This window comes from Homo sapiens, chromosome 16 (genome assembly GCF_000001405.40).
Source record: "Homo sapiens chromosome 16, GRCh38.p14 Primary Assembly".
NCBI lineage: Eukaryota > Metazoa > Chordata > Mammalia > Primates > Hominidae > Homo > Homo sapiens.
The window spans coordinates 31,157,059-31,176,863 of NC_000016.10; the positions used below are offsets into that span (position 1 = coordinate 31,157,059).

The 19,805-nt window shown below is 49.2% G+C and overlaps 1 pseudogene, besides 1 other annotated feature; it reads left to right on the forward strand.

The window, feature by feature from the left end:
• Positions 12,716-13,376: an enhancer, noted in NCBI's record as "NANOG-H3K27ac hESC enhancer chr16:31181095-31181755 (GRCh37/hg19 assembly coordinates)". NCBI's record gives its function as "activates a minimal SCP1, AML or CMV promoter by ChIP-STARR-seq in primed H9 embryonic stem cells {active_cell/tissue: H9 hESC(primed)}" and the evidence as "EXISTENCE:reporter gene assay evidence [ECO:0000049][PMID:30033119]".
• Positions 17,515-17,764, forward strand: NDUFA3P6 (NADH:ubiquinone oxidoreductase subunit A3 pseudogene 6; annotated as a pseudogene).

Here is a 19,805-nt window from a genome sequence, read left to right on the forward strand (position 1 = left end):
TGATAAAAGAGATCATGTTTTTTAAAGGATTTTGGTAACAGGTTACTTTTTTTCTGAATTGGCTTTGTCACTAAAATGTCTGGTTATCACTGACCTACAAAAAAAGGCATTCTTCAGATAATCCTTGATAGTATTGTTGCTCTCACCACACTTTCCAAAGGTGCTGACCAGAGGGAGCAGAAGACTGTTTCACAGCTCAAGCACACAGCCGCACGCGCTCCACACCAGCGAAGCCCAGCAGTGCCGCATCTCATCGTGAAAAGAGGAAGCCAGAAGCTGGGAGTCACTCCACTTCTGGTCAGGGCTGTTCTGTGGAATATACTGTGGGCAGGGCCACATGTCTCCTCGAAAAATAATCTGGGCTGTCTGTCCTCATGCACACCAGAATGGGTGCCATGACAGAGAAAGCTGCATTTTATTTTCATTTTTTATTTGAGACGGAGTCTCACTCTGTTGCTCAGGCTGGGGTGCAGTGGTGCAATCTCCACTCACTGCAGCCTTTGCCTCCTGGGTTCAAGTGATTCTCCTGCCTCAGCCTCCCAAGTAGCTCGAATTACAAGTGCCCACCATCATGCCCAGCGAATTTTTGTATTTTTAGTAGAGACAGGGTTTCATCATGTTGGCCAGGCTAATCTTGAACTCCTGACCTCAAGTGATCCACCCGTCTCAGTCTCTTAAAGTGTTGGGATTACAGGCGTGAGCGCAGCCACTGCAAACATTTGGTTTGTAAAACTCTTTTTTTTTTTGAGACGGAGTTTTGCTTTTGTCCCCCAGGCTGGAGTGCAGTGTTGCGATCTCAGCTTACTGCAACCTCTGCCTCCCGGGTTCAAGTGATTCTCCTGCCTCAGCCTCCTGAGTAGCTAGGATTACAGGTGTCCACCACCATGCCCGGCTAATTTTTTTGTATTTTTAATAGCGATGGGGTTTCGCCATGTTGGGCAGGCTGGTCTCCAACTCCTGACCTCAGGTGATCTGTCCGCCTCAGCCTCCCAAAGTGCTGGGATTATAGGCGTGAGCCACCACACCCAGCTGGTGTATAAAACTCTTAAAGCACGTGTCACTCCTTTTGGAGTGCCTGCTAAAATACAGAATACTTAGCTCAGTCTGAATTTGAGATAAACGATTTTTTTTTTTTTTACTATAACTAGGTCTCAGGAAATACTTGAGTTATATTGAAAATTATTTGTCGGGCCAAGTGAAGTGGCTCACACCTGTAATCCCAGCACTTTGGGAGGCTGAGGCAGGTGGACTGCTTGAGCTCAGGAGTTTAAGATCAGCCTGGGCAATATAGTGAGACCCCATCTCTACAAAGAGTTTTTTAAAAAATTAGCTGGATGTGGGCCAGGCGTGGTGGCTCAAGCCTGTGGTCCCAGCACTTTGGGAGGCTGAGGCGGGCGGATCACGAGGTCAGGAGATTGAGACCATCCTGGCTAACACAGTGAAACCCCGTCTCTGCTAAAAAGAAAATACAAAAAAATTAGCCGGGCATGGTGGCGGGCACCTGTAGTCCCAGTTACTCGGGAGGCTGAGGCAGGAGAATGTCGCGAACCCAGGAGGCAGAGCTTGCAGTGAGCTGAGATAGCGCCCCTGCATTCCAGCCTGGGTGACAGAGCGAGACTCCGTCTCAAAAAAAAAAAAAAATAGCTGGATGTGGTGGTGTGCACTTGGGAGCTACTTGGGAGGCTGAGGTGGGAGGATGGCTTGAGCCCAGGAGGCAGAGGTTGCAGTGAGCCATGCCACTGCACTCCTGCCTGGGCAACAGAACCAGACCCTATCTCAAAAAAAAATTATTTGTGTTTCCAATAGGCACAGGGCTCACGTCTGTAATCCCAGTGGTCTGGGAGGCTGAGGCAGGAGGATCACTTGAGACCAGGAGTTCGAAACTGCAGTGAGCTATGATTGCACCATTGCATTCCAGCCTGGGTGACAGAGCAAGACCCTGTCTTAAAAAAAAATTATTTGTGTTTACCTGAAATTCAGATTTAATCGGGCACTTATTTTATTTGCTAAATCTGGTTGGGAGTGGTGGCTCATGCCTATAATCCCAGCACTTCAGGAGGCTGAGGTGTGAGGATTACTTGAGTCTAGGAGTTCGAGACCAGCCTGGGCAACGTAACATAGACCCCGTTTGTACAAAATTTTTTTGTAAAATAAAAAAGGAGTAAAATAAAATTTTTTGCTAAACCTGGCAACCCTGTTCCCTATTCCATAATATTATCTTGCTAAGTCACTATATTGTTGCATATCTGCTTGGAAGAAATAACTTTTTTTTTTTTTGAGACGGAGTTTTGCTCTTGTTGCCCAGGCTAGAGTGCAATGGCACGATCTTGGCTCACTGCAACCTCCACCTCCTGGGTTCAAGTGATTTTCCTGCCTCAGCCTCCCCAGTAGCTGGGATTACAGGTGTATACCACCACTCCCAGCTAATTTTGTATTTTTACAATTTTGTATTCTGGAGTATTTTAAATACGATAGAGTATTGTATTTTAAATACAAAATTGTATTTTACAATTTTGTATTTTAGAGACGGGGTTTCACCCTGTTGGCCAGGCTGGTCTTGAACTCCTGACCTCAGGAGATCTGCCCGCCTTGGCCTCCCAAAGTGTTGGGATTACAAACATGAGCCACTTCGCCTGGCCAGAAATAACTTGTTCTCAGAAAAAACTTGGAGTTAGAATGTTATTCTATGAGGGACCCTCTGAGTGGGAATATTTGAGAGACTTGATAAAATTGGGAACATGTTGTGTGTTGACTCCACGCTTGACTGATATGATCAAGACATCCCCTTGGTGCTCCCTCTCGTGGCAAGAAGAGTAACTGCTCCTTCAATTTCACTCCCAGACTCTGCCCCCACCTCCCCACCCACCTCTTGGTCTCCAGGGACCATGCTGGTACCCTGAGCCTGTCGGAGCCAGAGATTGCCCCAGGACTCAGCGCTTTAGCCTCAAATGAGTTGCCCTACTTCAAAGGGACCTCACTTTGTGAGATGCACTGTATAGAATTTTTTTTTTTTTTTGAGATGGAGTCTCGCTGTGTCGCCCAGGCTGGAGTGCAATGGCATGATCTCAGCTCACCGCAACCTCTGCCTCCCGGGTTCAAGTGATTCTTGCCCCAGCCTCCCGAGTAGCTGGGATTACAGGCATGTGCCACCACGCCCAGCTAATTTTGTATTTTTTAGCAGAGACAGGGGTTCTCCATGTTGGCCAGGTTGGTCTCGAACTCCCAACCTCAGGTGATCCGCCCACCTTGGCCTCCCAAAGCGCTGGGATTACAGGTGTGAGCCACCGTGCCTGGCCCTAATTTTTGTATTTTTAGTAGAGACGGGGTTTCACTATGTTGGCCAGGCTGGTCTTGAACTATTGAGCTCAGGTTATCCACCTGCCTCAGCCTCCCAAAGTGCTGGGATGACAGGCATGAGCCACCGTGCCTGGCCATTGTATGCAATTTGGAGGGTGGTTCCTGAGACACAGAGAGAACAATCCGAGTTGGAGTCTGAGGAGGTGGCAGCTCATTGCTGGGAGAGAGACGTCCTCCTGCTTCTGAGGGGAGCAGTTTTGGGGTGCTCCTGCATAAACTGTATGGGGTCCGGGAGAGCTCTTGGGGGCAAGAGAGGAGGTCAGGATGGGATGGGGGTGAGGGCGAGGTTTTTGAGTCATGGCTGGAGGCAACAAGGCTTATGGCCCTGACTTGGAGGCCTGAGCACAGCGAGCTTTCTGAACCCCTCTGGAAAACAAAGGAGGTGGGGTGTTGCAGGACCTCAGGTACTCAAGCTGAGCAGCCATTTCTCCTGCAGGTTGTTTGTATTTTCTGAATTCTGAACATCTGAAACGAGAATGCGTATGAGAGGGGAAGCTGTTTAGATAATGAAAACCCATTGAGATTAGTTTAATCAAACACACAGGGACACGGACAGGCGTGGTGGCTCACGCCTGTAATCCCAACAGTTTGGGAGGCTGAGGTGGGTGATCATCTGAGGTCAGGAGTTTGAAACCAGACTGGCCAATATGGTGAAACCCTGTCTCTACTTAAAAAAAAGTACAAAAAATTAGCAGGGAGTGGTGGCTCACGCCTGTAATCCCAGCACTTTGGGAGGCCGAGGCGGGTGGATTGCCTGAGGTCTGGAGTTCAAGAGCAGCCTGGCCAACATAGTGAAACACCATCTCTTCTAAAAATACAAAAAATTAGCTGGGAGTGGTGGCGGGCACCTGTGATCCCAGCTACTAAGGAGGCTGAGACAGGAGAATCGCTTGAACCCAGGAGGCAGAAGTTGCAGTGAGCCAAGATCGCGCCATTGCACTCCAGCCTGGGCAACAAGAGTGAAACTCCGGGCTAGATGAGGTGGCTCACGCCTGTAATCCCAGCACTTTGGGAGGCCAAGGTGGGCAAATCATGAGGTCAGGAGGTCGAGACCAGCCTGGCCAACATGGTGAAACCCCCTTTCTACTAAAAATACAAAAAATTAGCTGGGTGTTTGGTAGTGGCAGGCGCCTGTAATCCCAGGCTGAGGCAGGAGAACTGCTTGAACCTGGGAGGTGGAGGTTGCAGTGAGCTGAGATTGTGCCACTGCACTCCAGCCCTGGTAACAGAGTAAGACTCTGTCTCAGAAAAAAAAAAAAAAGAAAAGAAAAAGAAAAAAAAATTAGCCAGGTGTGGTTGCAGGCACCTGTAATCCCAGCTACTCGGGAGGCTAGGCAGGATAATCGCTTGAACCTGGGAGGCGGAGGTTGCAGGGAGCCGAGATCGCGCCACTGCACTCCAGCCTGAGCAACAAGAGTGAAACTCAATCTCAAAAAAAGAAAAAAAAGTGTTTGTCCCTGCTTAAAAGTCTCTGTGGCGGCTCTAGGCTCTTATAATAAACTCAAGCTCTCCTTGGTCGCTGCTCACTGTCCCGGTCCCCGCCTGCTCCCTGTGTTCCTTGTTGCCATGCCTCAGAAAATTGAGGAAATCAAGGTCTTTCTGCTCACAGCCCGACAAAAGGATGCCAAATCTGTCAAGATCAAGAAAAATAAGGACAATGCGCCGGGCACGGTGGATCATGCCTGTAATCCCAGCACTTTGGGAGGTCTAGGCGGGTGGATCACGAGGTCAGCAGTTCAAGACCAGCCTGACCAACATGGTGAAACCCCGTCTCTACTAAAAATACAAAAAATTAGCTGGACATGGTGGCGGGCACCTGTAATCCCAGCGACTTGGGAGGCTGAGGTAGAAGAATCGCTTGAAACTGGAAGGCGGAGGTTGCAGTGAGCCGAGATTGCACCACTGCACTCTAGCCTGGGCAATAAGAGCAAAACTCTGTCTCAAAATAAAAAAAAGAAAAAAAAGAAAAAAAAAGAAAAATAAGGACAATGTGAAGTTTAAAGTTCGATGCAGCAGATACCTTTATACCCTGGTCATCATTGACAAAGAGAAGGCAGAGAAATTGAAGCAGTCCCTGGCCACCATGCCTGGCTAATTTTGTATTTTCAGTAATTCTGTATTTTAGTAATGTAGTATTTCGTATTTTAGTAATTTTGTATTTTAGCCTCCAGAGTAGCTGGGACTACTTGGATGCCACCACGCCCAGCTAGGTTTTTACATTTTTTGTAGAGATGGGGGTCTTGCTATGTTGCTGAGGCTGGTCTTGAACTCCTGGCCTCAAGGAATCCTCCCACCTTTGCCTCCTGAAGTGTTGGGATTACAGGCGTGAGCCACTGCTTCCAGCCATTGGTAAATTTCGCACAATTTTTGTACTGGCCCAGAGAGTTTTGCATATCGTCAGCCACAGAAAAAGTAGCAAGTAACAATTATGTTACACAAACAGCCACATAATTGTCCCTGGTAGACTAAAGTAAACCATATCTGTTTCTCCAATTTTACACTCTTTCATGGTTAGGTTTTTTGGCGATCCGATAATGTGTTTCTTCTTCTGCCACCACGGAGAAAAAACACATATTCACCTAAAAATACTAAAGTCAAATTTACTAATAAAAATGTCTTCCTATTTCGATACGCATCATCAGGTTAAAAAACCCTCTGAGGCTGGGCGCAGTGGCTCACGCCTGTAATCGCAGCACTTTGGGAGGCTGAGGGGGGCGGATCACCTGAGGTCAAGAGTTTGAGACCAGCCTGACCAACATGGAGAAACCCTATCTCTACTAAAAATACAAAAGTAGCTGCGTGTGGCGGTGCATGCCTGTAATCCCAGCTACTTGGGAGGCTGAGGCAGGAGAATCGCTTGAACCCAGGAGGCAGAGTTTGCAGTGAGCCGAGATCGTGCCATTGCACTCCAGCCTGAGCAACAAGAACGAAAACTCTGTCTTAAAAAAAAAGAAAAACAGCTGGGCGCGGTGGCTCACACCTGTAATCCCAGCACTTTGGAAGGCCGAGGTGGGTGGATCACGAGGTCAGGAGTTTGAGACCAGCCTGGCCAACATGGTGAAAACCCGTCTCTACTAAAAATACAAAAATTAGCCAAGCGTGGTGGCGCATGCCTGTAATCCCAGCTACTCAGGAGGCTGAGGCAGGAGAATTGAGGCTTGAACCTGGGAGGTGGAGGTTGCTGTGAGCTGAGATCACCCCACTGCACTCCAGCCTGGGCAACAGAGGGAGACTCCGTGTCAAAAAACAAAACAAACAAAAAAAAACAACAAAACAACCTAAAAAACCCTCTGAGGCTGGGCGTGGTGTCTCATGCCTGTAATCCCAGCACTTCAGGAGGCTGATGCATGAGGATTGCTTGAGTCTGGGAGTTCCAGACCAGCCTGGGCAACACAGCAAGACCGTCTCTATAAAACAAACAAACAGACCCCTTCTCAAATGAGAAGGAAATCTTCCAGCTTTATTACATAATGTTTTCCCACAGCCTTTTTATTTTAATTATTATTTTTAAAATCGGGGGCAAGATGGTCTCACTATGTTGCCCAGGCTCATCTCCAAGTCCTGGGCTCAAGCCATCCTCCCACCTCAGCTTTCTAATTTGCTGGGATTACAGGCATGCACCACCATGCTCAGCATCTTGTTAATTTTTTTTTTTTTTTGAGATGGAGTTTCACTCATTGCCCAGGCTGGCGTGCAATGGAGCATTCTCAGCTCACTGAAACCTCTGCCTCCAGGGTTCAAGCGATTCTCCTGCCTCAGCCTCCTGAGGAGCTGGGATTACAAGCACCTGCCACCACACATGGCTAATTTTTTTGTATTTTTAGTAGAGACGGGGCTTCACCATGTTGGCCAGGTTGGTCTCGAACTCCCGACCTCAGGTGATCCGCCTGCCTCGGCCTCCCAAAGTACTGAGATTACAGGCGTTAGCCAAAGAGCCTGGCCTAATTTTTGTATTTTTAATGGAGACGGGGTTTCACCATGTTGGCCAGGCTGGTCTCGAACTTCTGACCTCAGGTGATCTGCCTACCTCGGCCTGCCAAAGTATTGGGATTACAGGTGTGAGCCACCGCGCCCGGCCTCCTTTTTAATTTTGTAGGCAAAACTTTCCAAAATAATTTCTTATGAAGTTTCCACTAAAGAAAGAAAACAGTTGCTAAATTCTATGGTTTCTAAACAGCTAATAGACAGGCGCCTTAGGGCAAAATTCTTACTTTCCTTCTTTCTTTTTTCACCATGCAAGCTGGTGCTGAGGGCAAAATTCTTATTTATTTATACTTTAAGTTCTGGGGTACATGTGCAGAACGTGCAGGTTTGTCACATAGGTATACATGTGCCCTGGTGGTTTGCTGCACGCATCAACCCGTCATCTACATTAGTTATTTCTCCTAATGCCATCCCTCCCCAAAATGCTTTTTTTTTTTCTTTGAGACAAGGTCTCTCTGTGTTGCCCAGGCTGGAGTGCAGTGGCGCGATCATGGCCCACTGCAGCCTTGACCTCCTGGGCTCAGATAATCCTCTCACCTCAGCTTCTCGAGTAGCTGGGACTAAAGGTGCACACCACTGCACCCGGCAAATTTTTGTATTTTTTGTAGAGACAGCATCTCACGATGTTGCCCATGCTGGTCTCAAACTCCTGGCCTCAAGTGCTGAGATTACAGGTGTGAGCCACCTCACCTGGCCACAATATTCTTTCACACACACATGCACGCACGCATGTACACACGCGCACACACACACACACACCAATAAACACAACAAGAAAACTGCTTAGTTGGAAACAAAAATCAATCTTGGAAATTCCAAGAGATGTCCTTCCACGGGTGTGTGTGTGTATGTGTGTGTGTGTGTGTGTGTGTCTGTGCATTCTTGGTCTAGCCTGGCCAGGATCATCTTGGCGACCCACCAGACTTTGAAGACTTAGTATGAAAAACAAGGCTGGGCATGGTGGCTCACGCCTGTAATCCCAGCACTCTGGGAGGCTGAGGCAGGTGGACTACTTGAGTCCAGGAGCTCCAGACCAGCCTGGGCAGCATAGCAAAACCCTGTCTCTACTAAAAATACAAAAAATTAGCCAGGCATGGTGGTGTGCATCTGTAATCCCAGCTACTTGGGAGGCTGAGGTGGGAGGATTTTTTGAGCCCAGGAGTTCAAGGCTGCAGTGAGCCATGATCCCACCACTGTACTCCAGCCTGGGTGACGGAGTGAGAACCTGTCTCAAAAAAAAAAAAAAAATGACGCCAGCTAGTTGACCTCTAAGGGGGCAGGGCTCTCTAAGGCCTTTGTGGGCCAGAAGAGTTCCTTCCTGGTGGACTGCAGCAAAGCCAGCTCCAACATGCTGCTGATCAGGGTACATGGGCCCACGACCGCCTGCGAGAAGGTCTCCATGAAGCATGTAGGCAACCAGCAATACAATGTCACATACGTCGTCAAGGAGAGGGGCCATTACGTGCTGGCTGTGAAGTGGGGGGAGGAACACATCCCTGGCAGCCCTTTTCATGTCACAGTGCCTTAAAACAGTTTTCTCAAAAAAAAAAAAAAAAAAAAAAATAGCTCCTAGAAAATTTAAAATTATGGCCGGGCGCGGTGGCTTATGCTTATAATCCCAGCACTTTGGGAGGCCGAGGCGGGCGGATCACAAGGTCAGGAGTTCGAAACCAGCCTGGCCAACATCGTGAAACCCCATGTCTACTAAAAATACAAAATTAGCCAGGCATGGTGGCACAGGCCTGTAGTCCCAGCTACTCGGGAAGCTGAGGTAGAAGAATCACTTGAACCTGGGAAGTGGAGGTTGCAGTGAACCGAGATTATACTACTGCACTCCAGCCTGGGCGACAGAGCAAGACTGTGTCTCAAAAAAAAAAAAAAAAAATTAAAATTACATAAGTATATCATGCTGCTCAAAATAGTTCCCTTGAGGCATCCATTTAAAACAAATCTAGGCTGGGCACGGTGGCTTATGCCTGTAATCCCAGCACTTTGGGAGGCCGAGGTGGGCGGATCACCTGAGGTCAGGAGTTCGAGACCAGCCTGATCAACTTGATGAAACTCCATCTCTACTAAAAATACAAAAATTAGCTGGGCGTGGTGGCATGTGCCTGTAACCCCAGCTACTCGGGAGGCTGAGACAGGAGAATGCTTGAACCCGGGAGGCAGAGGTTGCAGTGAGCTGAGATTGCACCATTGCACTCTAGCCTGAGCAACAAGAGTGAAACTCCATCTTAAAAAAACAAAAAATCCAAAATTTAAAAAATATGTGTAGGCCAGGTGCGGTGGCTCACGCCTGTAATCCCAGCACTTTGGGAGGGCGAGGAGGGCGGATTGCCTGAGCTCGGGAGTTCGAAACCAGCCTGGGCAACGTGGCGAAACCTTGTCTCTACTAAAATTACAAAAAATTAGCCAAGTGTGGTGACGGGCACCTGTAATCCCAGCTAGTTGGGAGGCTGAGGCAGGAGAATCGCTTGAACCCAGGAGGTGGAGGTTACAGTGAGCAGAGATCATGTCATTGCACTCCAGCGTGGCGACAGAGCGAGACTCCGTCTAAATATAAATAAAAAATAAATAAGTGTAATTTTTTTTTTGAGATGGAGTCTCTGTCACCCAGGCTAGAGTGCAGTGGCGTGATCTCAGCTCACTGCAACCTCCACCTCCCATGTTCAAGTGGTTCTCCTGCCTCAGCCTCCTGAGTAGCTGGGATTACAGGCATCCACCACCATGCCTGGCTAATTTTTGTATTTTTAGTAGAGATGGGGTTTCACCATGTTGGCCAGGCTAGTCTCGAACTCCTGACCTTGTGATCCGCCTGCCTCAGCCTCCAAAAGTGCTGGGATTACAGGTGTGAGCCACTGCGCCTGGCCAAATGTGTGTAATTTTTTTTTAGCTGTCCCACAGAGAAAGAACTCTTCTCAGTAGTTTTACATGTATCTTCCTGGAAATATTTGCAAATTAATCTGAAAAAAAGTATACATACATATTTGGCATATTAGGGTTTAAATCACCTTGCAGGGTCAAACATAAACAAGTTTCTTCTTCTTTTTTTTTTCTTTGAAACAGAGTCTCTCTCTGTCGCCCAGGCTGAAGTGGCGCAATCACGACTCACTGCAGCCTTGAACTCCTGGGCTTAAATGATCCTCCCTCCTCAGCCTCCCCAGTAGCTGGGACTACCGGCATGTACCACCATGCCTGGCTAATTTTTTTTTTTTTTTTGAGACGGAGTTTCAGTCTTATTGTCCAGGCTGGAGTGCAATGGCGCGATCTTGGCTCACCGCAACCTCTGCCTCCTGGGTTCAAGTGATTCCCCTGCCTCAGTCACCCAAGTAGCTGGGATTACAGGCATGGGCCCCCATGACTGGTAAATTTTGTATTTTTTTTAATAGAGACGGGGTTTCTCCATGTTGGTTAGGCTGGTCTCCAACTCCCGACCTCAGGTGATCCTCCCGCCTCGGCCTTCCAAAGTGATGGGATTACAGGCGTGAGCCACCACGCCCGGCCTAATTTTTTAAAGTTTTTGTAGAAACTGGGTCTGGCTATGTTGCCCAGGCTGATCTCGAACTCCTGGGCTCAAGTGATCTTCCAACCTTGGCCTCCCAGAGTGCTGGGATTACAGGTGTGAGCCACTGAGCTTGGCCTTAAGCATAAAGAAGTTTCTTCGTTCTTTTGCGTATTTGTTCAGAAGCCCCTGTACTGATACCCTCTCTCACTCTTCTCCCTTTTCCTATTTAGAGCTAGAGAATCTGTAGCCCAGAGTCCTTGAAAAAGGCAAATGATATGGAATTGTTAACAGATCCTTTTACTTTACACTTTTTTTTTTGAGACAGAATTTCACTCTTTTTGCCCAAGCTGGAGTGCAATGGCGCGATCTAGGCTCACTGCAACTTCCGCCTCCCGGGTTCAAGCGATTCTCCTGACTCAGCCCCCCGAGTAGCTGGGATCACAGGCGCCTGCCACCATGCCCAGCTAACATTTTGTATTTTTAGTAGAGACAGGATTTTGCTATGTTGGCCAGGCTGGTCTCAAACTCCTGACCTCAGGTGATCTGCTTGCCTCGGCATGCCAAAGTGCTGGGAATACAGCGTGAGCCACCATGCCCGGCCTAAGTTACACTTTTGGTTTGTTTGTTTGAGACAGTGTCTCTGTTGCCTAGGCTGGAGTGCAGTGGCGCCATCTCGGTTCACTGCAACCTCTGCCTCCCGGGTTCAAGCGATTCTCCCACCTCAGCCTCCTGAGTAGCTGGGACTACAGGCACACGCCACTACGCCCGGCTAATTTTTGTATTTTTAGTAGAGACAGGAGTTCACCATGTTAGTCAGGCTGGTCTCGAACTCCTGACCTCAGGTGATCCGCCTGCCTTGGCCTCCTAAAGTGCTGGGATTACAGGCATGAGCCACAGCGCCTGGCACACTTTTGTTTTTGTCTTTGAGAAACAGTTTTGTTCTGTGGCCCAGGTTGGAGTACAGTGGTTCAATCATAGCTCACTACAGCCTTGACCTCCTGGGCTCAAGTGATATCCCCCACCATTTCAGCCTCCCAAAGCTCTGGGATGACAGGTGTCAGCCACTGTGCCTGGCCACACTGCATTTTTGCAAACCAGGTACCAGGACGCTCAATTTGTTTCCCTGGGACCTTTAACCTGTTTGGAAATAGACCTGGCACAATGATTGGTCAATTTCCCATCTATCACTGTGACTATTGCATACCTTGCCCCAGGCCCTTTTCCTGCCTCCAGGAGGACTTTCTGCAGTTTTCCCTCAGACCCAGCACTGTGTTGCCCTTTTCATTTTTTTTTTTTTTTTTTTTTAGTGTTTAACCTCGTTTTTAAGTTCATACTAAGGTACAAATGGCTTCTTCCTTCTTTGTTTTTGCTTTTTTTTTTTTTTATTGATCATTCTTGGGTGTTTCTCACAGAGGGGGATTTGGCAGGCCGCCATCCCACCTAGGAAGTGAGGAGCGCCTCTTCCCCGCCGCCATCCCATCTAGGAAGTGAGGAGCGTCTCTGCCTGGCCGCCCATCGTCTGAGATGTGGGGAGCGCCTCTGCCCCGCCGCCCCGTCTGGGAGGTGAGGAGCGTCTCTGCCCGGCCGCCCCTTCTGAGAAGTGAGGAGACCCTCCGCCAGGCAACCGCCCCGTCTGAGAAGTGAGGAGCCCCTCCGCCCGGCTGCCACCCCGTCTGGGAAGTGAGGAGCGTCTCCGCCCGGCAGCCACCCCGTCCGGGAGGGAGGTGGGGGTCAGCCCCCCGCCCGGCCAGCCGCCCCGTCCGGGAGGGAGGTGGGGGGGGTCAGTCCCCCGCCCGGCCAGCCGCCCCGTCCGGGAGGTGAGGGGCACCTCTGCCCGGCCGCCCCTACTGGGAAGTGAGGAGCCCCTCTGCCCGGCCACCACCCCGTCTGGGAGGTGTACCCAACAGCTCGTTGAGAACGGGCCATGATGACAGTGGCGGTTTTGTGGAATAGAAAAGGGGGAAAGGTGGGGAAAAGATTGAGAAATCGGATGGTTGCTGTGTCTGTGTAGAAAGAAGTAGACATGGGAGACTTTTCATTTTGTTCTGTACTAAGAAAGATTCTTCTGCCTTGGGATCCTGTTGATCTGTGACCTTACCCCCAACCCTGTGCTCTCTGAAACATGTGCTGTGTCCACTCAGGGTTAAATGGATTAAGGGCGGTGCAAGATGTGCTTTGTTAAACAGATGCTTGAAGGCAGCATGCTCGTTAAGAGTCATCACCACTCCCTAATCTCAAGTACCCAGGGACACAAACACTCTGCCTAGGAAAACCAGAGACCTTTGTTCACTTGTTTATCTGCTGACCTTCCCTCCACTATTGTCCTGTGTTGCTCTTTTCTAGTTGGTCCAAGCAGGTCTTTTCTTAGCACAGGCCAATTATCTGCCCAGCATTTACTTTCCCAGTCTGTGTACCATGACAACCTCTCCTAGAGACACAAAATCTGAGTGGGCCCCATGCAGACAGGGGCACTTCCTGTCCTGGGCACTGCCCAAGGAGATAATAAAGCAATTATTTCTTGCTTGAAGCAGTACATCTTGAAGGACGAGTGAGAGAGAAAAGGTCATTTATTCATGCCTACTATGTTCTAGGCCCAGTTAAGGGTATTTGCAGATGGAAATGTCATTTAATATTCCCAGTAGAAGTTGCTTTTTTTGAGACAGTTCTTGCTCTGTCTCCCAGGCTGGAGTGCAGTGGTGCAATCTCCACTCATTGCAACCTCTGCCTCCAGGGCTTAAGAGATCCTCCTACCTCAGCCTCCTGAGTAGCTGGGACCACAGGCGTGTACCACCAAGCCTGGCGAATTTTTGTATTTTTTGTAGAGACTGGTTTCGCCATGTTCAAGACCAGCCTGGGGTCTTGAACTCTTGGACTCAAGAAATCCACATGCTTTTGCCTCCCAAATTGCTGTGATTAGAGGTGTGAGCAATCCCAAGCCTGTTGTTTTGAGTGATGTGAAATAGCAGGTTGTCTCATACCTCAGTGCCTCTGCTTAGGAATGTGACCGTTTCGTCCTGCATGAAATCCTCTGTTCAGAGCTGAAATGGGGCTGAGTAAAATTCAGCTCCTGCTCTCCTCCCCAAGTCTTCGGCCTTGGGGGGCAGAGTTGGGCGGGGGGTGGGTTTCTGCCTGGAGGAAGGGATGCCTTTTCCTAATTTGCACAAAGATGTGCAGCAGGCTAGAGGTGGGGCCTGGGTCTGGCCCCAGCCATCTCTCACCATCCCTCCACGCTGTTCCCCAGGCCAGAGTGCTCCTGAGGGGAGGGCCTTGCCTGCTCTTCCTCCCTTGCCCTTCTACACGCCTGCTCTTCCTCCCTTGCCCTTCTACAGGGACCCAGCTAGGGCAGTGGCACACGTCTGTGGTCCCAGCGCTTTGGGAGGCTGAGGTGGGAGAACTGCTTGAGGCCAGGAGTTCGAGGTTAGAGTGAGCTATGATTGCACCATTGCACTCAAGAAGCCTGGGCAACAGAACGAGGTCCTGTCTCTAAAATATAAATACATACAAGAACCCAGCTAAAGTGCCTGGCCAGGACAGGCTCTGGGTCAAGCTTGCTCTCTTCTGTTCGTACAGTTTTTGTACTGAGAAATGCTTCATTCGTTCAGTTGAAATGTCAACTCCTCGCTGGGCACAGTTGCTCATGCCTGTAATACCAGCACTTTGGGAGGTTGAGGCAGGAGGATTGCTTGAGCCCAGGAGTTTAAGACCAGCCTGGGCAATTGTAGGGACCAGCCCCACAGGGTCGGTGGGCTTCTCCCTGTGTGCGGTGACCAGAGAGTGTAGAAATAAAAGACACAAGACTAAGAGATAGAAGAAAAGACAGCTGGGCCCGGCGGACCACTACGACGAATGCGTGGAGACCGGTAGTGGCCCCGAATGTCTAGCTGTGCTGTTATTTATTGGATACAAAGCAAAAGGGGCAGGGTAAAGAGTGTGAGTCATCTCCAATGATAGGTAAGGTCTTGTGTCCACTGGAAAGGGGGCCCTTCCTTCCCTGCCTGGCAGCCGAGGCAGAGAGAGAGAGAAGACAAAGAGAAAGACAGCTTACACCATTATTTCTGCATATCAGAGACTTTTAGTACTTTCACTAATTTACTACTGCTATCTAGAAGGCAGAGCCAGGTGTACAGGATGGAACATGAAGGCAGACTAGGAGCATGACCACTGAAGCACAGCATCACAGGTAGATGGTTAGGCCTCCGGATAACTGCGGGCGAGCCTGACTGATGTCAGGCCCTCCACAGGAGGTGGAGGCGCAGAGTCTTCTCTAAACTCCCCCAGAGAAAAGGAGACTCTTTTTCCCGGTCTGCTAAGCAGCGGGTGTTGTTCCTTGACACTTTTCGCTACTGCTAGACCACGGTCCACTTGGCAATGGGCGTCTTCCCAGACGCTGGGGTCACCGCTAGACCAAGGAGCCCTTCTGGTGGCCCTGTCTGGGCATAACAGAAGGCTCGCACTCTTGTCTTCTGGTCACTTCTCACTGTGTCCCCTCAGCTCCTATCTCTGTATGGCCTGGTTTCTCCTAGGTTATGATTATACAGCGAGGATTATTATAATATTGGAATAATGAGTAATTGCTACAAACTAATGATTAATGATATTCATATATAATCATATCTAAGATCTATATCTGGTATAACTATTCTTGTCTTATATTTTTTTATACTGGAACAGCTCATGTCCTCGGTCTCTTGCCTTGGCGCCTGGGTGGCTTGCCGGCCACAGGCAATGTGATGAGACCCAGTCTCTACAAAAAACAAAAATGCTGGGGCGTGGTGGTGTATGCTGCTGGGGAGGCTGAGACGGGATGATCTTTTGAACCCAAGAGATTGAGGCTGCAGTGAGCAGAGATTGTACCACTGTACTCCAGCCTGGGCGACAGGGCGAGACCCTATCTCAAAAAAAAAAAAAAATAGCTGGGTGCGGTGGGTTACGCCTGAGTCCCAGCACTTTGGGAGGCTGAGGCGGGTGGATCACAAGGTCAGGAGATCGAGACCATCCTGGCTAACACAGTGAAACCCCGTCTCTACTTAAAATACAAAAAAAAAATTAGCCGGGCATGGTGGTGGGCGCCTGTAGTCCCAGCTACTTGGGAGGCTGAGGCAGGAGAATGGCGTGAACCTGGGAGGCGGAGCTTGCAGTGAGCCGAGATTGCACTACTGCAGTCCAGCCTGGGCGACAGAGCGAGGCTCCATCTCAAAAAAAAAAAAAGTCAACTCCTCAGTGAAGGCTGACCCACCCTACTCACTGCAAAAGTAATCACTCTTCCCCTGTGGCAGGTCTTACCCTGTATAATACCCTCCTCAGCTACCATGCTGTGGTGCATTGTAGGAGTCAGTTTGCTTTTAAATTGGTCATTATATGCACATAGTGAAAAATTAAAATATAAAAGGATCTAGGAAAAGTGAATTTCCTTCAATCCTTGACCCCAAGTTCCCCAGATTCCTTCCTCAGAAATAGGCTATGACTTGTTTTTCTTCTTCCAGAGATATTTTATGCATAAGTAAACACATATATATATATATCCCTAACTGTTCTCCTTCTCTTTTTCTTTTTTCTTTTTTTTTTTTGTGACAGGGTCTCACTCTGCTGTTCAGGCTGGAGTACAGTGGCACAGTCATAGCTCACTGCAGCCTTGACCTCTTGGATAGTACCCCACCCCCCTGCCCCAGACTCAGCCTCCCAAGTAGCTGGGACCACAGTCACACACCACCAAACCCAGATCATTTTTAATTTTTTTGTAGAGACAGGGTCTCACTATGTTATTAAATGATCCTCCTGCCTCGGCCTCCCAAAGTGCTGGCATTACAGGAATGAACCACTGAGCCTGGCCCTCTTTCTTTTTTAGAAACCCAAATAGAGGCCGGGCACAGTGGCTCACGCCTGTAATCCCAGCAATTTGGGAGGCTGAGGCGGGTGGATCACGAGGTCAGGACATTGGGACCATCCTGACAAACATGGTGAAACCCTATCTCTACTAAAAATAAAAATACAAAAAAATTAGCTAAGCGTGGTGGCGGGCGCCTGTAGTCCCAGCTACTCTGGAGGCTGAGGCAGGAGAATCGCTTGAACCCGGGAGGCGTAGCTTGCAGTGAGCCGAGATCGTGCCACTGCACTCCAGCCTGGGTGATAGAGCGAGACTACGTCTCAAAAAAAAAAAAAAAACAAAAACCCAAATAGAGGCTGGGCATGGTGGTGCAGGCCTGTAGTCCCAGATGCTGGTAAGGCCAAATTTGGAGGATTGCTTGAACCCAGGAATTTGAGGCTGCAGTGAGCTTTGATTGCACCACTGCACTCCAGCCTGGGTGACAGATTGAGATCCTAACTCAAAAGAAAAAAAAAAGGAGGCCAGGCATGGTGGCTCACGCCTGTAATCCCAGCGCTTGGGAGGCCAAGGCAGGCAGATCATGAGGTCAGGAGTTCGAGATCAGCCTGGCCAACATGGTGAAACCCCATCTCTACTAAACGTACAAAAATTAGTTGGGCGTAGGGGCACGTGCCTATAATCCCAGCTACTCGGGAGCCTGAGGCAGGAGAATTGCTTGAACCTGGGAGGCGGAGGTTGCAGTGAGCCGAGATCGCGCCACTGCACTCCAGCCTGGGTGACAGAGCAAGACTCAATCTCAAAAAAAAAAAAAAAGGCCGCTGTCATCACCACCGAGACCAAGAAGGCCACGAGACTCAGCACCTTCCTCAAGATTTCCTGGGCCAAGGAGCCAGTGCTGGTCTTGTCCTCTGTCATCCGGAGCCTCACTGTAATTCTACCCCCACTTAGTCCCCACACCAAGTACTCCATCATGATCAACGAGGCAAGGCCCTACAACTACCCAGTGCCTGTCTGCAATGATGGGAACATGCCCGATGTGCCCAGCCACCCCCAGGACCCCCAAGGCCCCAGTTTGGAGTGGCTGAAGAAATTGTGAGCACCTCCACTGCCAAAGGAGGACCCTCCCATGGCTCCCACTAGAAATGTGAAAACCAACCTCTCCCTGCTCAAAAAAAAAAGAAAAGAAAAAGAAAAATTGCATTAAATATTTGATCTAGGCCAGGCGCAGTGGCTCATGCCTGTAACTGTAACTCTAGCACTTTGGGAGGCCGAGGCAGGAAGATTGCTTGAGGCCAGGGGTTCAAGACAAAACTGGCCAACAAAATGAGACCTTGTCTTTAAAAAATAAATTCTGGGGCTGGGCGCAGTGGCTCATGCTTGTAACAGCACTTTGGGAGGCCGAGGAGGGGTGGATCACGAGGTCAGGTGTTTGAGACCAGCCTGGCCAACATAGTGAAACCCCGTCTCTACTAAAAAAAAATACAAAAAATTAGCCAGGCGTGGTGGCGGGTGCCTGTAATCCCAGCTACTTGGAGGCTGAGGCAGGAGAATCGCTTGAACCTGGGAGGCAGATATTGCAGTGAGCCGAGATCGCGCCATTGCACTCCAGCCCAGGCAACAGTGCGAGACTCCATCTCAAACAAATATATATAAATATAAATAAATATATATATATATGTAACTTCCTGGCACGATGGCACAGACCTGTAATCCCAGCACTTTGGGAGGCCGAGGCGCGTGGATCAGGAGGTCAGGAATTCAAGACCAGCCTGGCCAAGATGGTGAAACCCTGTTTCTACTAAAAATACAAAAAATTAGCCAGGCGTAATGGTGGGAGCTTGTAATCCCAGATACTCGGGAGGCTGAGGCAGAGAACTGCAAACTCCGGAGGCGGAGGTTGCAGTGAGCTGAGATTGTGCCACTGCACTCCAGCCTGGGTGACAGAGGGAGACTCTGTCTCAAAAAAACAAACAAAAAAATTAAATAAATAAATTAAAACTAACTAACTAAATAAATATCTGGATATCTGAGCTGGGTGCAGTGGCTCATGCCTCTAATCCCAGCACTTGGGAAAGCAAGGCAGGCAGATCATTTGAGGTCAGGAGTTCGAGACCAGCCTGGCCAACATAGGGAAACCTCATCTCTACTAAAAAAATTAGTTGGGTGTGGTGGTGCACATCTGTAATCCCAGGTACTCAGGAGGCTGAGGCAGGAGAATTGCTGGAACCTGGGAAGTAGAGGTTGCAGTCAGCTGAGATTGCAGCACTGCTCTCCAGCCTGGGTGACAGAGTGAGACTCTGTCTCAAAAAAAAATCAATATCTGATATACGTGTTTATTTTTTTATTGAGATGGAGTCTTGCTCTGTCGCCCAGGCTGGAGTGCAATGGCACAATCTCTGCTCACCGCAACCTCTGCCTCCCTGGCTCAAGCAATTCTCCTGCCTCAACCTCCCGAGTAGCTGGGACTACAGATGCGCGCCACCATGCCCGGCCAATTTCTGTATCTCTAGTAGAGATGGGGTTTCACCAGGTCGGTCAGGCTGGTCTCGAACTCCTGACCTCATGATCTGCCCACCTCAGCCTCCCAAAGTGCTGGGATTACAGGTGTGAGCGAACGCATCTGGCCCAATATCTGATATACATGTTAATTGAAACTGGGTGTGGTGGTCACACCTTTAATCACAGCACTTTGGGAGGATTCCCTTGAGCCTAGGAGTTCAAGACCAGCCTGGGCAACATAGCAAGACCCTGTCTCAAAAAAGAAAAATTTAACATTGACTTTCCTGTCAGAGATAGGAAGTAAATAAGACATTTATGGTGAACTTAAAGCACATATGGCAGCTAAAGGTGACAGTGTCTCACTCCAGCTGACCCTTGCCCTATGGAAGTGGGCCTGGAATGGCCCACTATTTTTAGTGTTGGCAACTAGTTAAAAAAATTAAAACATTCGAGGCAGGTGGATCACTTGAGATCAGGAGTTCGAGAACAGCCTGGGCAATATGGTGAAACCCCGTCTCTACTAAAAATAGGAAAATTAGCTGGACATGGTGATGCATGCCTGTAATCTCAGCTACTCGGGAGGCTGCAGCACAAGAATTGCTTGAACCCGGGAGGCAGAGGTTGCAGTGAGCTGAG